Here is a 22943-nt window from a genome sequence, read left to right as displayed (position 1 = left end):
CCAAATGACAGAAGGAAGAGAAGGACAAGAAGGCAGAGTCTGCTCACTCACTCAAGTCAAGGTGATTAATCTCTCTATGCCTCAGTTTCCACCCTGCAAAATGGGGATACTATTGGTACTTAGCTCACAGAATTATTGTAATGGCTTAATTGATTACTTGATAAATAGTATCTCAAAAATATTAGCTATTTTGTTATAATCACTCCCACAGCTAGATGTCAGCCCTTGCATGAAATCAAGCATTCGGCAAACATCTATGCAGCGTGGACTCTGCTGGGCCCCAGCTGGGTCCCTGAGCAGAGGGTCTGGATTGGCCATACCTCATTTATATTGAGATGAATGAACTCCTTGTTCTTTGTACTGAGAGCCTGGAACACCCCTGATAGGAGAGAAGGGGGAAAGGCATCCTTTTAAAGACAATTCCTTTACCAAGTTTGTTTCCCAGCGACCAAAGGGCCTTCCAGTGGAGCCTGTGGGGAAGCTGCTCCATCTGGTGGTAAACAAGGACTTTCATCAAGGGCGGCGATGGGACTCTCATCAAGGGCGGGCTGAAGGTGAACTTCTCTGAACGGATGGAGGCATCCAGTCCTGTAGCAAGCCAGTGGTCACCTAAGCCAGTCAGCCGGCCAGCAGCTCCTGGAGCCAAAGCAACGCCCCTATCTTAACCTTCTGGGGGGTACAGGGCCCTTGAAATCCATAGGCCCCAGAAAAAAAGCACACGCACGTAAAGTTTTGCATGAATCTGAAAGTTGTTAGTCTCGCCCTTGTAGGAAGGTGCCGTGGGTGCTGTCAGAGGACAGAGTGGCACAGGAGAGCGTGCCAGCACTGAGCTGGGGGCTGGGTCTACCGCATGGTGTAGTGACCTGAGTGCACCTGAGCAAGTCACTGCCCTCTTGGGGCCTCAGCCTCCTCACCTTCAGAAGACGAGGTCGAGCCAATCAGCCCTGGCTTCACTTGAGAATCTCTCGGGTAGCTTTAATAATACAACCCAAAGCGGGGTGGGGGACCATCACTGGACACAAGAAATGGAAGAGACCCAACAACCAAACATGGTGACTGGGTCTTGTGTGGATCCTGAGTCAACCAAGCAACTGTAAAAAGGTGGCCTGGAAGACTTGGGCATGAACCGGGCACTAGAGAATGTTGAGGGTTTGCTGAGAATTTCGTTAGGTGTGCAAATGGTATGAAGATGATGCTAAAAACAAGTCTATCAGCTGGAGATACTCAGATGAATGGACAGAGTTTCTGAGATCTGCTATTAAATTATTTAGGGGGAAAATGTATGTGTTGCGGGAGCACAAGGGAAAAGTTAGCAAGATGGTAATTGTTGAGGTTGGGTGTAAAGGTCTGGAAACACCTGGCGAATTTGCGTAACTCCCAATGCTGTGTGCCACCCCTGAGATTCTAACAGAATTGGTCAACTGTGCAGCCTGGTCATCAGCATTTCTTTAGGCACCCCTGGAGATTGTAATGTACAGCGAAGTTTGAGAAGTGCTGATGTGGAGTGCATGGGAACCTATTATGATTCTTTATATCTAACTGGAGGGTTGACATTCTTACAATAAAAAGTTAAAATAATACTGCAGCAAAGCTCCATCCTTGGTAATTCTAAAAGTTCTCCAGGCAAATCTAATGTGAGGATGCCAGAGTGGATGGTGTTAAGCCTAAAGGGTCTTCACCCTAATATTCCTCTACTATAAGAAAAGCTGAGGCACTCCCACCCCCCGTTCTGGGAAGGATTACACCTGGGTGGTTTAGAAAGGGAAAGAGCAATGGAGAGAAGAGAAACTAGCAAATCTCATTATTTCTAGGGTCAGCTCTGACCACCCTGTAAGTCTAATAACGGATTCTGTTTCAGGAGGGGTCTTTCTAGAATGCACCTCTCACTAGCTACCAGTAACCCCTTAGGGAAAGCCGGCTTCCTGGCTTGATATACTAGACCCTTTGGGGCCTGCTGGTCTGTCTCTGATTTTCTCTCATCATTCCTTAATCAACACATACTCATTGATTGTCCAGAAATTACGGCTCTCCTGGAGCTTAGAGTCTAGAGGGGCTGTGCTTCAGGCAAGTAATTAGTGTTCTATTACCAAAGAAGCAGAGGGAGCTATCATGCTGATAACCAAGGGTCACAGCCCTCACCTTTTTATTTTAATTTAATTTAATTTTATTATTTATTTATTTATTTATTTATTTATTTATTTATTTATTTATATTTTTGAGATGGAGTCTCCCACTGTTGCCCAGGCTGGAGTGCAGTGGCAAACCTCAGCTCACTGCAACCTCCACCTCCCAGGTTCAAGGGGTTCTCCTGCCTCAGCCTCCCGAGTAGCTGGGATTACAGGTGCATACCACCACATTTGACTAATTTTTTGTATTTTTAGTAGAGACAAAGTTTCGCTATGAGCTGGTCTCGAGCTCCTGACCTCACGATCCAACTGCCTCAACCTCCCAAAGTGCTGGGATTACAGGCGTGAGCCACTGTGCCCAGCCCCCTGCCTTTTTTTTTTTTTTAATCAAGTATTCATACCTCGAAGTGGCCTATGGAACATAGATTAGAAAATACCAAGCAGGACAAAATGGAAATGCGGGGCCCCCTGCTCCTAAGTTGTGAAGACTTTCAAGATGGAAACGCCAGAACATTAAACCAAGCACGAGGCACCCTTGAGGGCACGGGTCCTTTGGCACCTGCACACAGGGCATGTCCTCATAGCCACTCCAGTACTGAGTTACAGGCCCTGGACATGCTTCACTCAGCCTCACCTTCAAAACCACCTTTGAGGGGCAGGATGGCTATGACAATAAACTGCAAACACTGAAGCGCACGGGCACATAATCCCTCTCTATTTGTGGTGTAACAAATCTTATTTGAGATAACTGGGTCAATGTCTAGGGCTTACAGGGCGGGGAAGGGGGGAGGAAGGGGGACTGAGACTCTCCTGTTTCTATATGCTATGATGGGATTTGACCTGCAATTGAACCTTTCCTCAAACACAAGGCACAAACCTGCCCCAGCCCATCATCCTCCCACAGAGGCACTGTGAATGTATAAAGAAAGGCGATGCTAAGAAACGTGCTGCAGGGGAGGCTGGCACATTCTGCTCCTTAGCTAACCGCACAGGCCCATGGGTCCACACACATCAGACCATGGCTCTCTGTGGTCTATCTTTGCCATTACTTTAACCAGGCTGTTTCTCATGCGCTCATGGAGGGTGACTGAAGATGCCACCCCGAGGTGCACCCTCAGCCTCGCTGGACACTTACGGCTCGCATTCTCCAGCCGGACCAGGCAGTTGAGGAAGTCATCGAAGTCCAGCTGGAGCTCCTCATCCGCATACCTGAGCACAATCAGCTGCAGGAGGTGGCTGCTCAGCTGAAAGCCTGTGGGGACAAAGGAGGAGACCCAGGACTCGCTGTATCCGAGCCCCGAGGTGAGTCTGCACCTTTGAGGGAGCTCCCAGGCAGCTGAGGAGAGGGCTCAGAAGAGGAAGCCACTGTTTCACTCCTCAAAGCTGGGGTCCCCAGACCCAGTGGGACTGCTGCCCTTGGTGTGAATGCAGCGTGAGAGTGTGAATCTGTGGTGCAGGGGCGAGTGTGCGGGGGACTCTCAGGCGTGCTTTCTGTGTTTAATGGCTTCTGAGTTTAGCGAGTTTGTGATCTTAATTTTGATGCTAACATCACCCATAGAGTCTCGCTGACTTTACAGGAAGCTTTGTTTGGGGGAACTTAACACTGGGTGGTGTCTGAGCCCCAAGTTCATTCCTACACCAGCCTCCCCTCGCGTTCTATGTCTCAGGTCACTTCCAGCTGTGGCCCTAGAAAGTTTCTTGGAGGGGATGCTGCTGCCCACGGAGAATGATACTCTGCCAGGGCCCATTCCTACACATCCACGATGGGGGAAGAATGACAGGCTATAGCCAGGAGGCTTGGATCTGAGCCCTGGCACTGCTCCAGCCGTGGCATATGGGTTCAGTTCTCTGGGCTTTGGTTTCCTCATTGTCAAATGAGGAGTTTAGACAAAGTGAACTTCCTTCTGGATTTGATATTTAGATTTTTTTTTTTGAGATGGAGTTTCACTCTTGTTGCCCAGGCTGGAGTGCAGTGGTGCAATCTCGGCTCAGTGCAACTTCTGCCTTCTGATTTCAAGTGATTCTTCTGCTGCAGCCTCCTGAGTAGCTGGGACTACAGGCACCTGCCACCACAACTGGTTAATTTTGTATTTTTAGTAGAGGCGGGGTTTCATCATGTTGGCCAGGCTGATCTCAAACTCCTGACCTCATGATCCACCCACCTAGGCCTCCCAAAGTGCTAGCATTACAGGTGTGAGCCACCACACCTGGCCAGTGCTTTGATTTCTAATTAGTGCCCTTAGAAGTGATTTCTTTCCCCCTTTCATTTTTGTCTACATGTTCACTTTCTAGGAGGTGTTCACAGGATTGTTCAGAAATCCACCCAGGGTCTTTCTGCTTCTTCCTAATTCCAGCAGAGGAGCAGGCAGGTCAGACACAGAGCACAGAGTCCCTGGAGCCTGCACGGCAGTGCTGGCTGCCAGCCTTGGCCAGAATCCTGATGTTTGGGGCTAGAGGAGGGGGATGAGGGGCGATTCTCCCCACACCACGTCAGGGTAGGAAAGACACAGCCATGCCCCTCCTCTCTGAGTGCTCCCTTTGTCCCCTGCTCAGTTCCTCCTCCTACCATGGAAACAGAGTCATCATCCCCTAAGAAAATCAGGCGCCCCTTCTCAGCCTGGCACTTTGCTCATTTATAAATCATCTGATTTTCTTCTCCCTCACATAGGACCCGAGATGGTCCTGGCTGTGTATACTTCATCCTTTTATCAGGCCTGAGCCTGGACATGTTTCCAGATTTTGCTTTCCCTGGGAGAGAACCACTTTAAAAGGTTCAGGAGGCCCCTATCTGTGAGGTGTGCTTGGTGAGAAGCGCAGGCAGCCCGGCAGGCGGGAGGTCTGCAGAGCGCTCGTGGAAACTACGGTTGTGTGTGCAGGACATGGGACCACAGAGATGCCGACAGCCATCCAGCACCGGACAAGAGTGGGAAATGCCACCTGGAGCCCAGCCTTTGGGTAAGGGAGCAGGGTATAAACTATGATGCAGTCATCCATTTTGGATTCAGAGTCTGATGCTGATAAAACCCGGGACAGGGCCACAGGTGGCAGAGGGACGTGCGGACCCCAAACCATGGGTGCTGCATGCTCTGTCTCATCCACGATAACAACCATCTGAGAGCAGAAATGAGAAGTTTGGAATCACTGCAGCTTGCCACCAAAGAGCCATGTGTTAAGTACTGGGCCAGAAAACATGGTCAGAGGCTATGAGGCCTCCAGAGGGCAGGCCAAGTTCATTTTTAGCAGATACATTTAAAAAGTTTCTACCAATGTTCACAGTGGTTTAAAATGAGGGCCCTGGTGTCAGGAAGTGAGTCCTGGGTCTGAACCCTGGTGCCACCACTCCAAGGGCCGTGACCTTAAGAATCACCAACTGGGCTCAGAGGCCCACCTCCTGGGCAGCAGAGAGAAGACCTGCCATCTGCTCAGGTTGCCCACAGGCAGTACCTGGCATGCAGTCAGCCACCTGTACTCCAGTCTTTTCTTTACCTGCAGCTTTCAGTGCAGTCCGTAGTTCATAGGTAGACATGGTGCCGGACTTGTCAGCATCAAACCGAAGGAAAAGGTTCTAAAGGGTGGAGAGCAGAAGCCTTGAGAAGGAGCGTGCCTGAAAGGCATCGCTGATGGCAGTAAATGGGTGACAGCCAGCCCGGGGGAGCTACCCTCTAGGGGCCGCAGAGGCCACAGTTGGACTGGGCCTTCCAAAAGAAGTCGGTCTCCCTTTTGTCTTCCTTTTCGTCTTGGGTGGAAGCACGGTGGTACTCCCGTAAGCATCGGAATAGCATGATGCTGTTTTCCCTTCTCCCCTGTCCGAATACAATTCCTCTAGCCTATAGCCTGCAGCCTGCTGCACCATTTTAAATCCCCTCTGCTCTAGGTTCACTGGGTCCCCCAGAGGCCAAGCCCTGCTCCAGGTTACATACAATCCACTGCTTCAGCTTGTCCCAGAACACTTTGAATTCATCAAACTCCAGCTTCCCATTGCCGCTGGTCTGTGCCATGTGGGTTAAGGGAGACATGAGCAGTGTTTCAACCTGAGGCTCCTCGTGGGACCTCAGCTCTGGGACTGCAGAGGGGGAGGGCCGATGGGCTGGCCTGGGTGCACAGGTTTGGGGCCCTGGGGAAGTGGTTTTAATGATTAAACCACAAATCTCTGAAGAGGGGAAACGGCAGAAGTGGAATGGGGGTGGTCCCGGAAAGTTCACAAAAACAGAACTCTGTTCCCTTGGATGGGATCCCAAAGTGGCAAGAAGACCCCCAAGTCCCTTCAAAAGCTCCCCACCCCCACCACTAGGCAGTCTTGTGCATCTTGATTCTGATCCAATTTCAGCATGGGGGTCCCCCAGCTTTGGGTTATTTTCTGTGAAGAAGACTATTCTGCTGGCTAAGGATGTCATGTTCTTGGAGAGTCTGCACTATTGAAGATTACTCTACTGTGCTTAAAGCCCAGGATCCATGTCTATTTCTGCTCAAATATTTGGAAGGATACGTCCATCAGGGAAATGATGTTTTTACAGGAGATCAGGCTTAGCTTCTTGAATTTGATGTCCTTTTCTGAAATTGCACATGAAAGCTGAATTCAGTTGACCCGATAAGATAAACCTATGTACCCATCTGCTGAAAGCCCAATAATGTGGCTAAATCCAGGGCTGTTGGGGGCTGTGATGTGGCTACTCTCTTATGATGCTGGTAGGAGTAGAAGTTAACATGACCTTTCAGAAGGAAAATTGGCTAAATGTGAAAAAAGCAATAAAAGTGGGAATACGCCTTCATCCATTTATTCTAGTTCTAAGAACCCCGAGCAAAGAATAACATATGAAGATTTTTGTCATCATATTATTTATAGTGGCAAAAATTTGGAAGTGAAATAATGACCAATAGAGAGGCATGGTCAATACCTTAGGCTATGTCTATATAATGAAGTATTATACGACCCTTAGGAATCATGTTTTTGCAGCATATTTAATGGCAGGATTTAAATTTGTTGGAGAAATTTGTACTCCCATACTGCTGCTGGTGAAAATGTGAAATAGTCACTTTAGAAAACAGTTGGATAGTTTTTAAAAACATTAAACATAGAGTTAAGCAATCCTCTTAACTAAACATATAATTAAGAGGATGGTTATGCCACCATGTAACCATAGACTGTTGCATTGTGATGGAACCATCCTCATAACTATATACCCAGGAGAAGTAAAAACACATGCCCACCCAAAAAACTTGTATAGGAGTGTTTACAGTTGCATTATTCATAATGACCAAAAACCGGTAACAACCCACGTGGCCACCAATAGATGAATGAATAAACAGAACAGGGCCCATCCATACGATGGAATGTTGTCTGGCTGTAAGAAGGAATGAGACATTGATACATGCTACAGCATGGATGGACCTGGAAAACATCACACCATGTGAGAAAAGCCAGTCAGAAAGGACCACATATTGTATGATTCCTTTTTTTCCCCCTGAAACGGAGTATTGCTCTGTTGCCCAGCCTGGAGTGCAACGGTGTGATCTTGGTTCACTGCAAACTCCACCTCCCAGGTTTAAGCAATTCTCCTGCCACAGCTTCCCGAGCAGCTGGGATTACAGGTGCCCACAACCACACCTGGCTGATTGTGTGTGTGTGTGTTTATTTTTAGTAGAGATGGGGTTTCACCATGTTGACCAGGCTGGTCTTGAACTCCTGACCTAGGTGATCCGCCTGTCTCGGCCTCCCAAAGTGCTGGGATTACAGGCGTGAGCCACCGCACCCGGCCTATGATTCCTTTTATATAAAATATTCAGAATATGTAAATAGAATCTATAGAGAAAGTAGATGAGTGGTTGCCTGGGGCTGGGGGAAATGGGTACAGGGTTAACACTGTTAATGGGTAAAGGGTTTCTTGTTGGAGTGATGAAACATTCTAACATTATATGTCTACGCATATGACACACATGTACATACATGCAGATACACATATGTTAAGAGTGGTTATTTATGGTGGTGAGATCATTTGTGACTATCTTTGTCATTAGGCTTTTCTGCATTTTTAAGAATTTTCTACTATAAACCTGCATCGTTTTTGGAATCAGGAAAACAAACAATGAAAGCTATTTTTAAAGTCTACCTACAAATCAGCCCTGGGAAGCAGATCTGCGGCTCGGAGGAGCAGGGAGGGGACCCAGGCAGTGTGGTCGCTTGTCCCTCCATAGGTGCCCCAGGACCCCGATGGGGTTGGCACTTACTCTTTTGCAGCACAGCATTTAAAACATACTCAAGTTCCTCTGCTGTCACCTCCATGTCCTGTTGAAGTGGAGACAATTGTTTGTTATAGCCCTTGGCACCTTCTTTTATAGTTTATTTTTGTTTTAAATCAGTTCTGAGCTTCATTTGGCTCCAGTGACAGACCAGCCTTCAGGACCCTGCTGTGGGCAGATGTACCTATCTCCTGTGTAGCTGCAGCTATGTGTCTCATATGTCACATGTTTTAGGGACATGCCAGCCCAACTAGGAGAGAGCCTAACTTGAGAGACATCCCAACCCAGGAAAGCGCATGAAAAGCTGGGCAGGGCAAGGCAGTGGTTTCCCAGCTTCCCTGAGGGTCAGAACCAACTCCTGGAATTGTCCTAAGCTCCTCAGATGATTCCTATGTTGGAGGCAGTTTGGGAAAACCAGACTGAGTCTTCCTCTGTACAGTAGAACCACCTGCAGAGCTTTAAAATAGTCCCGCATCTGGGGCTTACCCCAGGGAATCTTGAAATCAGAGGACCTGAGAATATGGTCCTATTTTTAAGACCTAGGAGTTGATTTAGAATTAAGAATAAGGGTGAATTTCAGAATCATGGATCTAAGGCACTCCAGGAAATCTCAGCAGCCCCCACCCCAGAAGCTGGTTAGAAATGGAGAGTCTCAGACCTTGCCCTGAGACTCAGGCTTTTTTTTTTTTTTTTTTTTTTTTTTTGATACAGGGTCTTGCTCTGTCATCCAGATTGGAGTATTAGTGGTGTGACCACAGCTGACTGCAGCCTCAATTTCCCATGCTCAAGCAATCCTCCTACCTCAGCCTCCCAAGTAGCTGGGACTATAGGCATGCACCACCATGCTGGGCTGATTATTTTTGCAGAGATGGGCTCTCCCTATGTTGCCCAGGATGCTCTTGACCTATTGATGAGGAATCTGTGTTTTTTTTCCCAGGATGCCCAGGTGACTTTATGCACATGTGTGTTTGAGTAGCACTGACATAGACCTCATTTTAGTCAGGGTTTTGCGCTAGCCGTGTGTTATGCTGTGGAGTGCTTCTAACACATGTCCGTCCTGAAGCCTCTGGGCCTGGGGAATGGGGGTTTGGGATGTTTGGTGTTGGTAAGAAAGCACTGCCCCAGCCAGGCCCCCACTGAAAGAGGAGGAAAGAGAAATGGAGCCATGTGCCCAAGTCATCCAACTACTTGGAAGAAAAGCAGGACATGAGTCAAGGAGGGCTGAACTCTAGAGGTACTTTTTGGTTGTTAATAAAGGTCGACTGAAACTCCTGCAACATTCACCGCTTCCCTTCCAAACTCTGGATCTCCATCTGACAACTTCTGCGCACCCGCATGAACCTCTTTAACTCCTCTGAGCCTGTCTTGCTGGGTCTGACCCAGCATGCTCCAGATAGCACCTGGAGCAGGGAGGTCACCACTGCCTTCCCCCCTCACCATGCTCTGTCCCGCCCAGGGCTGCGCTCAGCCACCTTCCTGCTGTGCTTTAAGCAGTCACATGAGCCCCCATTTTCTCCATCCGATCCTGTGGTCCCCTAATCTCCCTGCCTTGCCTGTTTATTGCAGTGCCTAATATACTACCATCAGACAGCCCCTAGGTTTAGATATCACCCCTCCAGGTGACCCCTTTCATAATTCAGGAACCCCAGTTTGGGGAAACACATGAAGCTAATAGAGTCATTAGCACCTTGACATGAATTAGTTCATCAGCTCATTGTATTTATGGCTCCAAGAGAGCACCTCTGGGGCAGTTTCTAGAAAGACTTCCCTCCCCTGACCCCAGCAGGTGGAGGAAGAGCCTGGATCTGTGTGAGGCTCCATCCAGTGTCCCTAAAAAGGAAGCTGAGCAGTGGAAAGAGCTAGGATAGGGTGGGGGACAGGAAGTTGCAATTGAATAGGGACCTCCTTGAACATGATCCCCTTTACTACAGCAAACAGAGTATTCTAATGGCAGTGATTTTCAGGCAGAGTTCAAAGGAGTCACCTCTTCAAGGCTTGCTCTAGCCTCCCAAAGAAAGCACCTGGGGCCAGGCGTGGTAGCTCATGACTGTAATCCCAGCACTTTGGGAGGCTGAGGCCAGAGGATTGCTTGAGCCTAGGAGTTTGAGACCAGCCTGGGCAACATAGCAAGACTCTTTATTATTTATTTTTTTAATTAGCTAAGCATGATGGCATGTGCCTATAGTCCCGGCTACTCAGGAAGCTGAGGTGATAGGATCTCTTGAGCCCATGAGTTTGAGGCTGCAGTGAGCTAGGCTTATACCACTGCACTCCAGCCAGGGTAAAAGAGTGAGACTCTGTCTAAAGCAAAACAGAACTAAAAAACAAAGCGTCTGGGCCTATTCCAAGCTTCTTTGGGCTCACTGGCCCCATCCACAGCCGCAGACTGTGTAAGTAAATGTTGTAAACAGGGTGGTCTTTGGGCCTTGAATGATCAGTGCTGGTCTTACTTTGCAACAAGCTCCATCATGCCTCAGGATGACGTTGCTGACCAACCCCACGACTGCAACCCTTTGCTAGGAAGCAGGTCCAGGCCCTCAGCCTGGTGGGGAGATGGAAGTGGGGCATGTCCTACCTCACCAGCGACTTGTTCAAACAGAGCCCGAAACCGCTGCTCCTCCTCTGTCTCCTGGTCAGGTGGAGTTGGCTTTGGAGGCTAAAAAACAGCCAAAGAAACTTGCACAAAATGATCCACAAAAAAGAAACATGACAAAAATAGCAGGAAAGAAGCCAGGAGCCTGTGTGCCCAGCCCCATGTCACCCTCCTGAGGCAGTGTGCACAAGCTGCGTCCTGTAGCGTGAGGAACATTTTCTCATGAAGGCTCTTTTAGAAGGTGAGACTAGAAGGACTTTATTAGCTGGACCTGTGGAGCCCTTCTGCCTTACAGACGAGGAGGCCAAAGGACCTTGACCCGTGCCTAAGTTAGGTCCTGGCCATTGGATTTTCATGCTTCCTGCCCTTCCTCTGGCTTACTTCTTACCACCCTGGACTGGAATGACTTACTTCATCATCTGTTTTGATAGCTGGTAAAATCGTTGAAGGCAAGAGTCTGTTTCTACCACTAAGCTCTGGGCTTGGTATATAGAAAGAGCTCAGTAAATGTTTTGGGTGATTTTTGGTTTCTTTGGTTTTTTAGCACCATTAATAAGCTGTGCCCCAGCATGGAACAGCAAATTCCCTCCTAAAAGCAGATCTCTGCTGTCCCTGGACGTGTCAGACTATTTCCAGCTATAGTATCTCAGGGCCTCTTGCGAGTCCTCCAGCCCTTGGACGAGGGTAAAGCCACCCCCATGTCACCCCTTCCACACCACATAACATAGGGGAGATGTAATGTGTTCCCCTGAGTCCACAGTAAAAAACATCTCCCTGCCTCTCTGGTTTTCTTTTCATTGATTAGATTTCTTAAAATACAATTAAAAGTCTACCCACTTCAGAAGCGGCAGCCTTCTCTCAGGTGGAGTTGGTAGTGTGAAAGTTATTGAGTCAAAATGAAGTCACTAATGTTAAGAAAACCCTGACAAATAGAGCTCGGGAAGGCCAGAAGGTTCTCATGCTTATTTGCCTGATAACAAAAATATCACAAAAGGCTGCAAAACCCACAACCTTTCACAGAGGCCCTCGCAACCATACACAAAAATACTTCTACCTCTGCCTAGCAACTGCCTGTCCAACATCAGACTGGCTTCACTTTTGTTATTGATCTTTGTAGCCAAGGATAATTATTTCAAAACAATTATGTAATCCTTCTCATTTTTTCTTTAAAAACCTTTGTCCTCCTTTACCTCCCCAAATAGGTGCATAGTTTACTATGGCATGCACCTTCCCATTGCAGTGCTTTATCCCTAAATAAATAGCTTTTCTTTTAGAGAGTGTCTCTGTGTTTGTTATTTCAGTTGACAGTAGCACAGAGGAAGATGACATCGAACAGAACTTTATACCAAGCACCCACCTCACTCCCATGCCAGGTCCTTGTGGACTAGAAGAGCACAGACTAGAACACACACATCTTGGTCTCCAGGAGGTTAGAATCATAGATGCTTACTTGATTGCATGTAACCATCCCTGAACTGCAGAGTTTTACATGATGCTGTGATTAGAAGGAAGGTTTCCAGAACCATCACCTGAATCCCATACTCCATAGCAACATCAGAAGACTCACCTCAGGAAGGTCAATGTCTACATTTCCATCCATATCCCTGTAGGGGCAGAAAAACACACTGCCTCAATTGTGGATTAACTTCCCATTGGGATCTGCAGAGCTGAAGAGCCCAGAGCCTGGGAAGGTTCTGTCCCTTTGAATCCCTTATTGTTCAGTGCTGTTTACATTTCACAGAGTTTGCAGACCCCATGCATTGACACCCCCACCCTTAGTCACTCAGACCTTGCTCAGAATGTAAATAAGAGGGACAGCCATTGTGTTAGACCATTCTTGCATGGCTATAGAGAAATAACAGAGACTAGGTAATTTATAAAGAAAAGAGATTTGATTGGCTCATGGTTCTACAGGCTTTACAGGAGCACAGTGCTGGCATCCGTTCTGCTTCTAAGGAGGCCTCAGGAAACTTACAATTATTGCAGAAGGTGAAGGGGGAGCAGGCAAGTCACATGGAAAAAGCAGGAGCAGGGTGGTATGGGGGAGTTGCCAAATACCCTTAAACAACCAGATCTCGTGCAAACTCACTATCGTGAAGACAGCACCAAGCCATGAGAGATCCGCCCCCATGACCCAAACACCTCCCATCAAGCCCCACCCCTAACACTGGGGATTACAATTCAACATCAGATTTGGTGGGGACACATATTCAAACTCTATCATTCTGCTATGGGCCCTCAAATCTCATGTCCTTCTCACACTGCAAAATATAATTATGCCTTCCCAATAACCCCCAAAGTCTTAAGTCATTCCAGCATTAACTCAAAATTCCAAAGTCCAAAGTCTCATCTGAGATAAGGCAAGTCCCATCACCTATGAGCCTGTCAAATCAAAATCAAGTTCCAAGATATACAAATTCCATTTTATACTTCCAAAATACAATGGGAGTATAGGCATTGGGTAAACATTCCCATTCCAAAAGGCCAAAAGAAAGGGGCTACAGGCCCCATGCAAGTTTGAAACCCAGCAGGGCAGTCATTAAATCTTAAAGCTCCAAAGTGATCTCCTTTGACTCCATGTCCTACATCCAGGGAACACTGGTACAAAGGGTGGGATCCCAAGGCCTTGGGAAGCTCTGTCCCTGTGACTTTGGCTGCTGTCATGGGTTGTTGAGTACCTGTGGCTTTTCCAGGCTCAAGGTGCAAGCTGCCAGTGGATCCACCATTCTTGGGTCTGGAGGATGATGGCCGCCTTCCCACAGTTCCACTAGGCAGTACCCCAGTGGGGACTCTGTGCGAGACCTTGAACCTCACATTTCCCCATCTGCATAGCCCTAGTAGAAGTTCTCTGTGAGGGCTCTGTCCCTGCAGCAAGCTTTTGCCTAGGCATGCAGGCTTTTCCATACATCCTCTGAAATCTAGGTGGAGGCTGCCAAGCCTCATTCAGTCTTGCACTCTGTGTGCCTGCAGGCTTAACACCATATGGAAGCTGTCAAGGCTTATGGCTTGCACTCTTGCACCCTCTGAAGCAGTAGCCCAAACTGTATCTGGTGCCTTTGAGCAGAGACTGGAGCTGGAGCAGCTGGGATGCAGGTAACAGTGTCCTGAGGCTGCATAGAGCAGTGGGGCCCTAGGCCTGGCCCATGAAGCCATTTTTTTCCTCTTAGGCCTCTCGGCCTGTGATGGGAGGAGGTGCTGCTGCAAAGGTCTCTAAAATGCCTTTGAGGCCTTTTCCCCATTGTCTTGGTTATAGCACTTGGCTCTTTTTAGTTATGTAAATATCTCTAGCAAGTGGTTGCTCCATAGCCTGCTTGAATTCCTCTCTCGAAAAAGCTTTTTCTTTCTCTGCTATATAGCCAGGCTGCAAATTTTCCAAATTTTTATGCCCTGCTTCCCTTTTAAATGTATATATTCCAGCTTTAAGTCATATCTTTGCTCCCATATCTGAGTATAGGTTGTTAGAAGCAGCCAGGTCACATCCTGAATGCTTTGCTGCTTAGAAATTTCTTCTTCCAGATACCCTAAATCATCACTATGACGTTCAAACTTCCACAGATCCCTAGGGCATGGACACAATTCAGCCAAGTTCTTTGCTAGGGCATAACACACATAACCTTTGCTTCAGTTCCCAATGAGTTCCTCCTTTCCATCTGAGACCTCGGCAGCCTGAACTTCACTGTTCATATCACTGTCAACAGTTAGGCCATAACTATTTAACCAGCCTCTAAGAAGTTATAAACTTTTCCTCATCTTCCTGTCTTCTTCTGAGGCCTTCAAACTCTTCCAACCTCTGCCTGTTATCTACTTCCAAAGTCACTTCCACATTTTCAGTTATCTTTATAACAATGCCCCACTCTTCTGTACCAATTTTCTGTATTAGGCTGTTCTTGTACTGCTATAAAGAAATACCTAAGACTAATTTACAAAGAAAAGAGGTTCAATTGGCTTTACAAAGAAGCATGGTGTATTCCCTAGAAGTTAACTTAACTCCTTGACTTCTAGGGAGACCTAGGAAACTACAATCATGGCAGAAGGGGGAAGAGTCATGTCACATGGCAAAAGCAGGAGCAGGGGTGGGGCAGGTGCCACATACTATTAACCACATCTCACAAGAATTCACTCAGTATCACGAGGATAGCACCAAGCCATGAGGGATCCACACCCATGACCCAAACATCTCCCACCAGGCTCCACCTCCAACATTGGGGATTACAATTCAACTTCAGATTTGATGGGGACACATATTCAAACTAAATCAGCCATCACCAAGAACTTGTGAATTCTGGATTTATGAAACTAAAAGAAGTTAAGCCAGCAGTCACTCCTTATTTCTTTAATGTACTTTAACAAGGGCAACTGATAAAGTGTTTTGTAGAATAGCAGCACCTCCAAAGACGCATAAACAGTGCAGTTGCATTACACATTCACTCTCCATGAACTTTGCATCTTCAAAGGAGATACATATCTGTTGGAGACCATTCAGCCTATTGAGTGGTAGGCACTGGGGAGGGGGTGCATTTTAAAAGATTACAAAGTTGAATCAGAACCAAAAAAACCACCATTTTTTTTAGACGGAGTCTCACTCTGTGGCACAGGCTGGAGTGCAATGGCATGATCTCGGCTCACTGCAACCTCTGCCTCCTGGGTTTTAAGTGATTCTCCTGCCTCAGCCTCCCAATTAGCTGGGATTACAGGCACGTGCCACCATGCCCAGCTAATTTTGTATTTTTAGTAGAGATAGGGTTTCTCTGTGTTGGCCAGGCTGGTCTCAAACTCCTGACTTCAGGTGATCCTCCTGCCTCGGCCTCCCAAAGTGCTGGGATTACAGGCATGAGCCACCGTGCCTGGCCTAAAGACCACCTTTTGAAGCTGCATCCCTAACTCCTGCCTCTCATCACAGATGTAAATTCCTGATTCCACTGGTGGGGTTGGGGAGGGATGGGTGTCTCTGTGCTTATGTTAGGGAAAAAGAGGAAAAATGATGCAATCATGTTTTTTTGCTATTCACATATTTAGGGGGACTTGTAATATTTGGATAGTAGTAATATTAAGAGGAGGAGCAGGCTTCAGCTTTTGATGATGCTAAAAACATTTGGAAGAATACAGTCTCATAGACTAAAACTTGAAGGGCTCTCAAAGAAAAACTGATACAAAGTCAAAGGGAATACAAATAAACATTAACATCAATTGGGGGTAGTCCTCCCTTTCCTCCTCATCCCCTGGGCATCCATAACATAACCCTTTCAGAACTTCTGTTTGTTTAATCAGGAGTCTGTCTGAGAGCTAAACCAATGCAAACACAGCTCAGTGTGAATTTTTGTTACCAAGCTACAGAGCTGATTCTTATACTCAATATCATAGCAGATTAAAGAATCTTGTTCAGAGCAAGATTGAGTATGGAGTTTTTTGCCATGTACAAGTCACCTTATGCATGTCAGTGACTCTGAGCTCACCCCACTAATAAGATAGAGAACAAGAGGCATGGCATTGGCATAACTTGGGTCTCTCTTGTTCTTGCCACCCATAAGAGATGTCAATCTGCATGGATCTCATACAGGGTACTTTTGTGTGAACAGATACTAGGATATTCATCCCCATCTTGTACTAGTATCTGGGAGAAGGCTGGAGAAAAATTCTCTGGTAGAGTGTTTAAAAATTAAAGACTTTTCTGCATCTATTTAGCCAAGAGAAAGAACCATGCCTTTTGTAATCAGCTTGGGAAACCCCACTAGACTTCATAATTGAGAGTCTTTTCAATGCATGCCACCAATCTAATTCTCTCTCACTAAACGAAAGATGAAACTAGAGTGAGTCATGTATTCACAGCTGTCTCTCTTGTTAACTCTGTGCAGATTGATCTTTTGTTGGAGACTTATCTAGCTTAAATACAGAATTAGCAGATTTTAGCGTTCTCCTTAATCTTTAGAATATTGTCATCGGGAAAAGAAATGGATTCCTCTGTCTTGAACCATTTTTCCCCCTGTGCCACAGAGCAACCAATGGTGAATGGGCAGTAATGGGAAACATTTTCCATAGAAGTAACTGATATAAAGTAATTTCGCTAAGACACTGTGAGGAAAATGTGGTGGAATATTGGGTATGTAAAATGAGAGGCAGATTTGCCAACATTTATTTAAATTGGAGCTGAAAGAACATGTCATTCTTGAAATTTGCAATAGCCACCCCCTTCATCATGCCCAGAAATGTCTAGCATCCCTGCATGTGGCTCTTATCCAAGAAGCTTCTTGGTAATAGGGTCTGAAAAATGAAGGTCTCCACCCAAGAATGTCTTGTGAGCATGACTCTGGGACCAGTAGAAAACAGCAACTTTTCAATGGTTTGCTTGAGGGAGCGAGGGAGCAGAGCTAGAAGGGATATGTGCCTTGCCTTGCAGATAAGCTAAGAAAGTGTCCTGCAGCCTGGCGTGGTGGCTCACTCCTGTAATCCCAGCACTTTGGGAGGCTGAGGCGGGTGGATCACCTAAGGTCAGGAGTTCGAGACCAGCCTGGCTAACATGGTGAAACCCCGTCTCTACTAAAAATACAAAAAAAATTAGCCAGGTGTGGTGGTGGGTGCCTGTAATCCTTGCTACTCGGGAGGATGAGCCAGGAGAATTGCTTGAACCTGGGAGGTGGAGGTTGCAGTGAGCTGAGATGGCACCATTGCACTCCAGCCTGGGCAACAAGAGTGAAACTTCATTTCAAAAAAAAAAATTAATAATAAATAAAAGAAAAGAAAGAAACCATCCTGCCTTGTTTCTCAGGTACACATGGGAAAGGGAAGAATGGAGTCTTGGCTCCAGCAGTTCCCAGGTGACTTCTGTGTGAATAAACCACTAAAAGAAGTGGGATTCTGGAAGCTGTTCCTCTGACTCACCGGGTAATGGCTTTTTTCTCTGAAAAGATTCTCAGACAGAAATCAGCTTCCTGGTGGGGCTCAAAAGTGCTGGGAATCAGGATGTACTCCCCAGGGGGCAGCTTGAACCGGTCGGAGACTTCTCTCAGGTTGATGAACGTCTTGCTTCTGGCCCGAGAAGCGTGGTATCTGAAGAAGTCTTTGTTCAGGTGTTCGTCTTTGTCAGGGCACTGCAATGGGCAAGAAAGGGAGGGGTTTCCTAGGGAAGTTCCTCTTGGCTTTTCGGACACAATTCATGGACTCTTGGTTGAGTCTCGGGTGTGAGACCGAGGAGGAGCCGCGAATTTAGAACTCAGATGGAGAACTCTGAAATGCAGTGTGGTTCCCACCTACCTCATAAATGGCATAGCCGATTGTCAGCACATTGGCACCAAATCTCTTGAGTTTCCTTCTATCTTTCTGCATCAGGGCTACAAGGAAACTACACTCCTCCTGCCCCTCATCTTTCTCAGTCAGAGACAATTTTATTTGTGGATTGGTCCAAAAGGTATCTGTCATTTGGGAGAGGTAGATTATTTTCCCCTTTTAAAAAACAACCCACAAAGACCACACACACACACACACACACACACACACACACACACACACGCACATACACCTATCTGCCCTCATTATATGTCCTACCAAACATGAGAAAGTAATACCTTCTCTCCCTGTTCAATAAGTCCTCCTACCCTACTTTTGATAATCCCCAACGGGAATGCAAAATATCCTCTCTTTCATTTCCACCTTCTCTTCAACCATTTCCTATGCAGTTTCTTAAGGACATTCTTCTGGGTCTAGTCTGCTAAAGCTTGTTCTATCAGTTTTTTTTCCACTTAGTATTTCAAAGGAGAGTGCAGTGGACTTCTGGTTGTCCCCCTGGCATCTACTTGATGGTGGGCCGTTTGAGTAGGATTGACCTCGAGCACTGCTCCAGCATGAATTCTGATTGGTCTGTGCCAGTCCTTTTTGCCACCGAGGATTGGACAAAGCCAATCAATGCATAGCATTCACTGGACAATATTAGTTCAAGGAATTTCCAATTAGAGGGAAGTTGAGGGCTTTTTTTTGATACCCCCAGGAGCTCTTGCTGTTCGTGTGAATGAGGGCTCAGGAAGCCCTGGATACTGCTGCCAGCCCTCCTGTGATTATAAAGAAAGCCAGACAGAGAAAGAAGTCAACACATAAAAGAGGGCAGAACAGTGAATTACAAGCAAATGGAACCAGGGCCCTGATAGAACTGTGCCTGAAGCCCACCCTACTTTTCCTCTGAGCTCTTCAATTATGTGAGATAACAAATCCTTTCTATTGCTAAACTGGCATGAGTCATGCTTTCCATTACTTGTAATGGAAAATAACCTAAGTGGTAAAACAAAGGAGGTTTCCCCAAACAATTCTTATCCAACTAAATCTTTGCAGCCTTTTTTCCCCAGTCACTTTTGAAACCTTACTATGTTTCAGGCTTTCTCTGAGGACCCGGCCCTTATCCTTTGGTGTCCTGAGTTGGAAGGGACACTTGGGAGTGGCAGAGAGAGTGACAGGCAGCCTACCTACCCAGGAAATTGCGGCAGCCCCCAGCCGTGGAGCCGCGAACCCAGCTTCCCTGATGGACCGTCACCTCCCATTTGTGGATCGCGTCTTCCTCCAGGGCATCGGGAGTGAGGTTGCAGATCTCCACTTTATCAAAGTGGGCCTTGAAGTCCTTAAATGCCATCCTGCAGCAAAGCGGAGAGACACGATGCACAGGAGGGCAAGAGTGAGGGCATCATCCATTCACTCATTCATTAAATCATTCACTTATTCATTAAATCATCTTGTTCCTGTCCGCAAGGAGTGGGGGGACTGCAAAGTGTGGGGAGATGGAAAATTTTTTAAAAGTAAAATAAAGGTTAAAAAGGTAAAAACCAGGCTAAAAATATAGATTGATTGTAGATGTTAAGTGCTACAGAGAAAAACCAAATTGGGCTGAAGGATGGGAGCGTAGGGGTGGGATGCTATTTTAAACAGGGAGGTAAGAGAAGCCCTTACTGATGGGGCACATTCTGAGTGGAGACCTGAACTACCAGGTCCTGGGCAGGGCAGCTCTCTGGGGGTCTAGGCAGATGGACAGCAAGGCCCCGAGGCAGAGAGGTGCTTGAGGTGCTCACAGAACACCAGGAAGGCACGAGGTGTCTGTAAGGAATAAGATCAAGAGATCATAGTACATCAAATAGGTATAGGGATTTTGGCTTTGACTCTGAGAAGATGGAGAGCTTTTAGAAGGCAGTAAACAGAGGAGTCACATGCTCCATGGCTGCTGTGTTGAGAACAGATTTTGGGGACACAAGTGGAAGCAGAGAGGCAGCTAGGAAGTTAGTGCCGGTGTCCAAGTGAGAGACAAGGGTGGCTTGGTCCAGGCTGATGGTATGGGAGGTGATGAACAGTGGCCAGATTTGAGACACATTCCAAAGGTAAATTTTATAGGATTTGCTAATGGACTGGATGTGGGGAAGGAGCGAATGAAAGGAATCAGGATGTTTGATTTGAGTGACTGGAAGGATGGAGATGGGGAAGGCTGTGGTGGGGCAGTTTGAGAGAGAAGCTCAGGAGGTCAGGTTTGGGCACGTGAATGTGAGATGTCTATTATACATTCAAGGAGAGATGTTAAAGTAGACCATTGAATATGTGACTCTGGAATCCTGGGGAAAGGAGCTGAAGATAGAAACCTGAGAATTAGTGTAAAGATAGTTTTTAAAGTCAAGAGACCAGACGAGACGCCTAAAGAGTGGGAATAGACAGCCAGGAGGGGGACCATGGATGGGGTCCTGGGACACCTCAGTGCTAACAGGTTAGGGAGATGAGAGGGGGCCAGGACAGGATGTTGAGAAGGAGCTCAGGTAGGAGGAGGACCACCAGGGCGTGTGGTCCCCCGCAATCCAGCACGTCAAGGGCTCCTGATGGATCAAGATAATCTGATCGAGCAAAGTGAGAGTCGGTGGCGTCCCTGGCAAGATCAGGGTTAGTGGGGTGGTGGGGCACACTCATAGCTGAGTGGAGTCGAGAGAGTAAGGGAGAAGAGGAACTGGCGGGCTTGCTGTAGAGGACAGGAGAGAGCTGGGTTGGTCACTTGAGTGGGTCAAGAGAGGCTTTTTTTTTCTTTGCAGGTAGGAGAAATGATAGTGTTGGAGTGCTAAGGGGAATGATTCAGAAGAAGGGGGGAATTCATACGTAAGGGGAGAGAAGAGAGTTGCAGGAGGTACATCCTAGAGCTGGTGAAGAATGGAAAGAGGCTACACAGGGCTTCAGAGTCAGGATTCCAGGAGGAAGGGCTCCACGCACAGAGTGCATGATTTAACACCACCCATCACCTTGGGCAGGCTCAGCCCTGGTGTTGGGGCTGCTCCTTCAAGAGGGGCAGGGCAATGGATCACTCACATGGACGCTCTTCTTTGTGGAGCTTCCTGCTGTGAATTTCCGAGTTTCCTCTGCCCGGCTTCTCCCACCGTCTGCACCAGACCTTCTTTCCACTAGCCTGACCTCAGGTAGCCTCTCAAACTCTGGTTTCTACCTCCTGCTCATATGCAGCAATTACTGTGATGGTACTAATTCCAGAACTCAGCTTTCTTCCTGCAGTTTTTGCTCCTCTCTTGTAACCCCCTAACTCAAAGTCCCCTGTACTTCAAAATTCAAAGTTTATCTGTAATTTCTAATTTGACAGCTTGGGAATCTCTCAAGCACCCTGCATGTGTTCCACAAATCTGGGGAACCTAAACCCTCATGGTTCCCGAGGCAGAGATGGCTGGCAGTCATCAGCACAGGACCAAGACTGCACCCCACTCCTTCCATTTGGGAGTAGAATGTGAGCCGTGACGCATTTACTTCTGAGTCAAGATTTTTAGAAAGTGAGAGTGTCTTTTTCAATGTTTTATTTTATTCTTCTCTTCTGCTGGCTATGTGCAGATGATGACGTGACCTTAGAAGATGGCAGAGCCACACAATAGAAGGCGTTTGGGTTCCTGAATCACTGTATGAACAGAGCCACCCACAGAATATGAACATCCTCCCTGGACTGTCATAATGAGTGAGGAAAAAACTTTACTGTGTTTGAGCCTTTATATATTTGGGGTCTATTCACTACTGCAGCTAGTGTTACCTTGAGTCATTGGTGCCTTGAATTACAGAACTGCCACAACGAAATTCTAAAATATGTTAGCAGTTGAGCAAGAGGGATCATGGAACTGTTCGAGCTGGAAAATGGTTATCTATGTTATGCAGTGGCAAAACATTGGGTAAATCTGTTGCATGTTGTTATGGACTGAATGTTTGTGGTCTCCCCTAAATTCATATGTTGAATCCTAACCCTCGAAGTAGTAGTGTCAGGAGGTGGGGCCTTTGGGAGGTGACTAGGTTGTGAGGGTGGAGCCCTCATGGATGGGGTTAGTGCCATTATAAAAGAGGCCCCAGAGAGCTGCCTTGCCCTCTTTCTACCATGTGAGGACAGAGTGAGAAGGATCCATCTATAAATCAGAAACAGGGCCCTCCACAGATATAGGTACTGCCTGTGTCATCTTCTTGGACTTCCTGGTATCTAGAACTGTGAGAAATAAATTCCTGTTCTTTGTAAGCCACTCAGTCTATGGTATTTTTTTATAGCCACCCAAATAGACTAAGACAACTATAAAAATACAGAAGGCAGAACAAATCACTACTGAGGCTGTGTTCTATGGGAAAAGAATGAAAAAGGCTGGAATAGTCATGGTTTTGGGTTGTAGTATTTTTTTTTTTTTTTTTTGAGATGGAGTATCACTCTGTTGTCCAGGCTAGAGTGCAGTGATGCAATCTCGGCTCACTGCAAGCTCCACCTCCTGGGTTCACGCCATTCTCCTGCCTCAGCCTCCCAAGTAGCTGGGACTATAGGCACTCACCACCACCCCTGGCTAATTTTTTGTATTTTTAGCAGGGGTGGGGTTTCACTGTGTTAGCCAGGATGGTTTCAATCTCCTGACCTCGTGATCCACCCGCCTTGGCCTCCCAAAGTGCTGGGATTACAGGCGTGAGCCACCGTGCCCTGCTGTTGTATTTTAAAAGCTGTTACAAGAAAGAGATGAGCT

The 22943-nt window shown here is 47.0% G+C and overlaps 1 protein-coding gene and 1 long non-coding RNA gene across 13 annotated transcripts in view, besides 2 other annotated features; one reads left to right on the top strand and one right to left on the bottom strand.

Annotated features, from left to right (window-relative positions):
• CAPN9 (calpain 9) overlaps positions 1 to 22943 on the bottom strand; it is a 54602-nt gene that overhangs the window by 3449 nt on the left and 28210 nt on the right. For 7 of the 12 annotated variants that reach the window (XM_011544017.2, XM_011544018.2, XM_017000098.2 and 4 more), the window contains 10 exons: positions 19408 to 19568; positions 18205 to 18362; positions 17833 to 18041; positions 12524 to 12560; positions 10939 to 11019; positions 8352 to 8409; positions 6613 to 6677; positions 6047 to 6115; positions 5613 to 5691; positions 3262 to 3378 (listed from right to left, as the gene is read on the bottom strand). In XM_011544017.2, the coding sequence (XP_011542319.1) occupies positions 3262 to 3378; positions 5613 to 5691; positions 6047 to 6115; positions 6613 to 6677; positions 8352 to 8409; positions 10939 to 11019; positions 12524 to 12560; positions 17833 to 18041; positions 18205 to 18362; positions 19408 to 19568 (1034 nt within the window). Of the gene's footprint in view, positions 1 to 320; positions 380 to 3261; positions 3379 to 5612; positions 5692 to 6046; positions 6116 to 6612; positions 6678 to 8351; positions 8410 to 10937; positions 11020 to 12313; positions 12432 to 12523; positions 12561 to 17832; positions 18042 to 18204; positions 18363 to 19407; positions 19569 to 22943 lie in introns of those variants that run through there. The other 5 variants (NM_006615.3, NM_016452.3, NM_001319676.2 and 2 more) reach the window with 3 other exon arrangements.
• CAPN9-AS1 (CAPN9 antisense RNA 1) lies at positions 3330 to 22460 on the top strand. Its single transcript, XR_001738518.2, has 2 exons — positions 3330 to 3428; positions 21793 to 22460. It is a non-coding gene; the product is annotated as a CAPN9 antisense RNA 1 (long non-coding RNA).
• Positions 13937 to 14526: an enhancer, noted in NCBI's record as "NANOG hESC enhancer chr1:230919761-230920350 (GRCh37/hg19 assembly coordinates)". NCBI's record gives its function as "activates a minimal SCP1, AML or CMV promoter by ChIP-STARR-seq in primed H9 embryonic stem cells {active_cell/tissue: H9 hESC(primed)}" and the evidence as "EXISTENCE:reporter gene assay evidence [ECO:0000049][PMID:30033119]".
• Positions 20128 to 20273: a silencer, noted in NCBI's record as "fragment chr1:230914014-230914159 (GRCh37/hg19 assembly coordinates)". NCBI's record gives its function as "represses an EF-1alpha promoter that drives an FKBP-Casp9 reporter gene in an ReSE screen in phorbol 12-myristate 13-acetate-treated (for megakaryocytic differentiation) K562 erythroleukemia cells {active_cell/tissue: K562(+PMA)}" and the evidence as "EXISTENCE:reporter gene assay evidence [ECO:0000049][PMID:32094911]".

This window comes from Homo sapiens, chromosome 1, assembly GCF_000001405.40.
Source record: "Homo sapiens chromosome 1, GRCh38.p14 Primary Assembly".
Classification (NCBI taxonomy): domain Eukaryota; kingdom Metazoa; phylum Chordata; class Mammalia; order Primates; family Hominidae; genus Homo; species Homo sapiens.
This window is presented reverse-complemented; position numbering and strand designations above follow the sequence as displayed.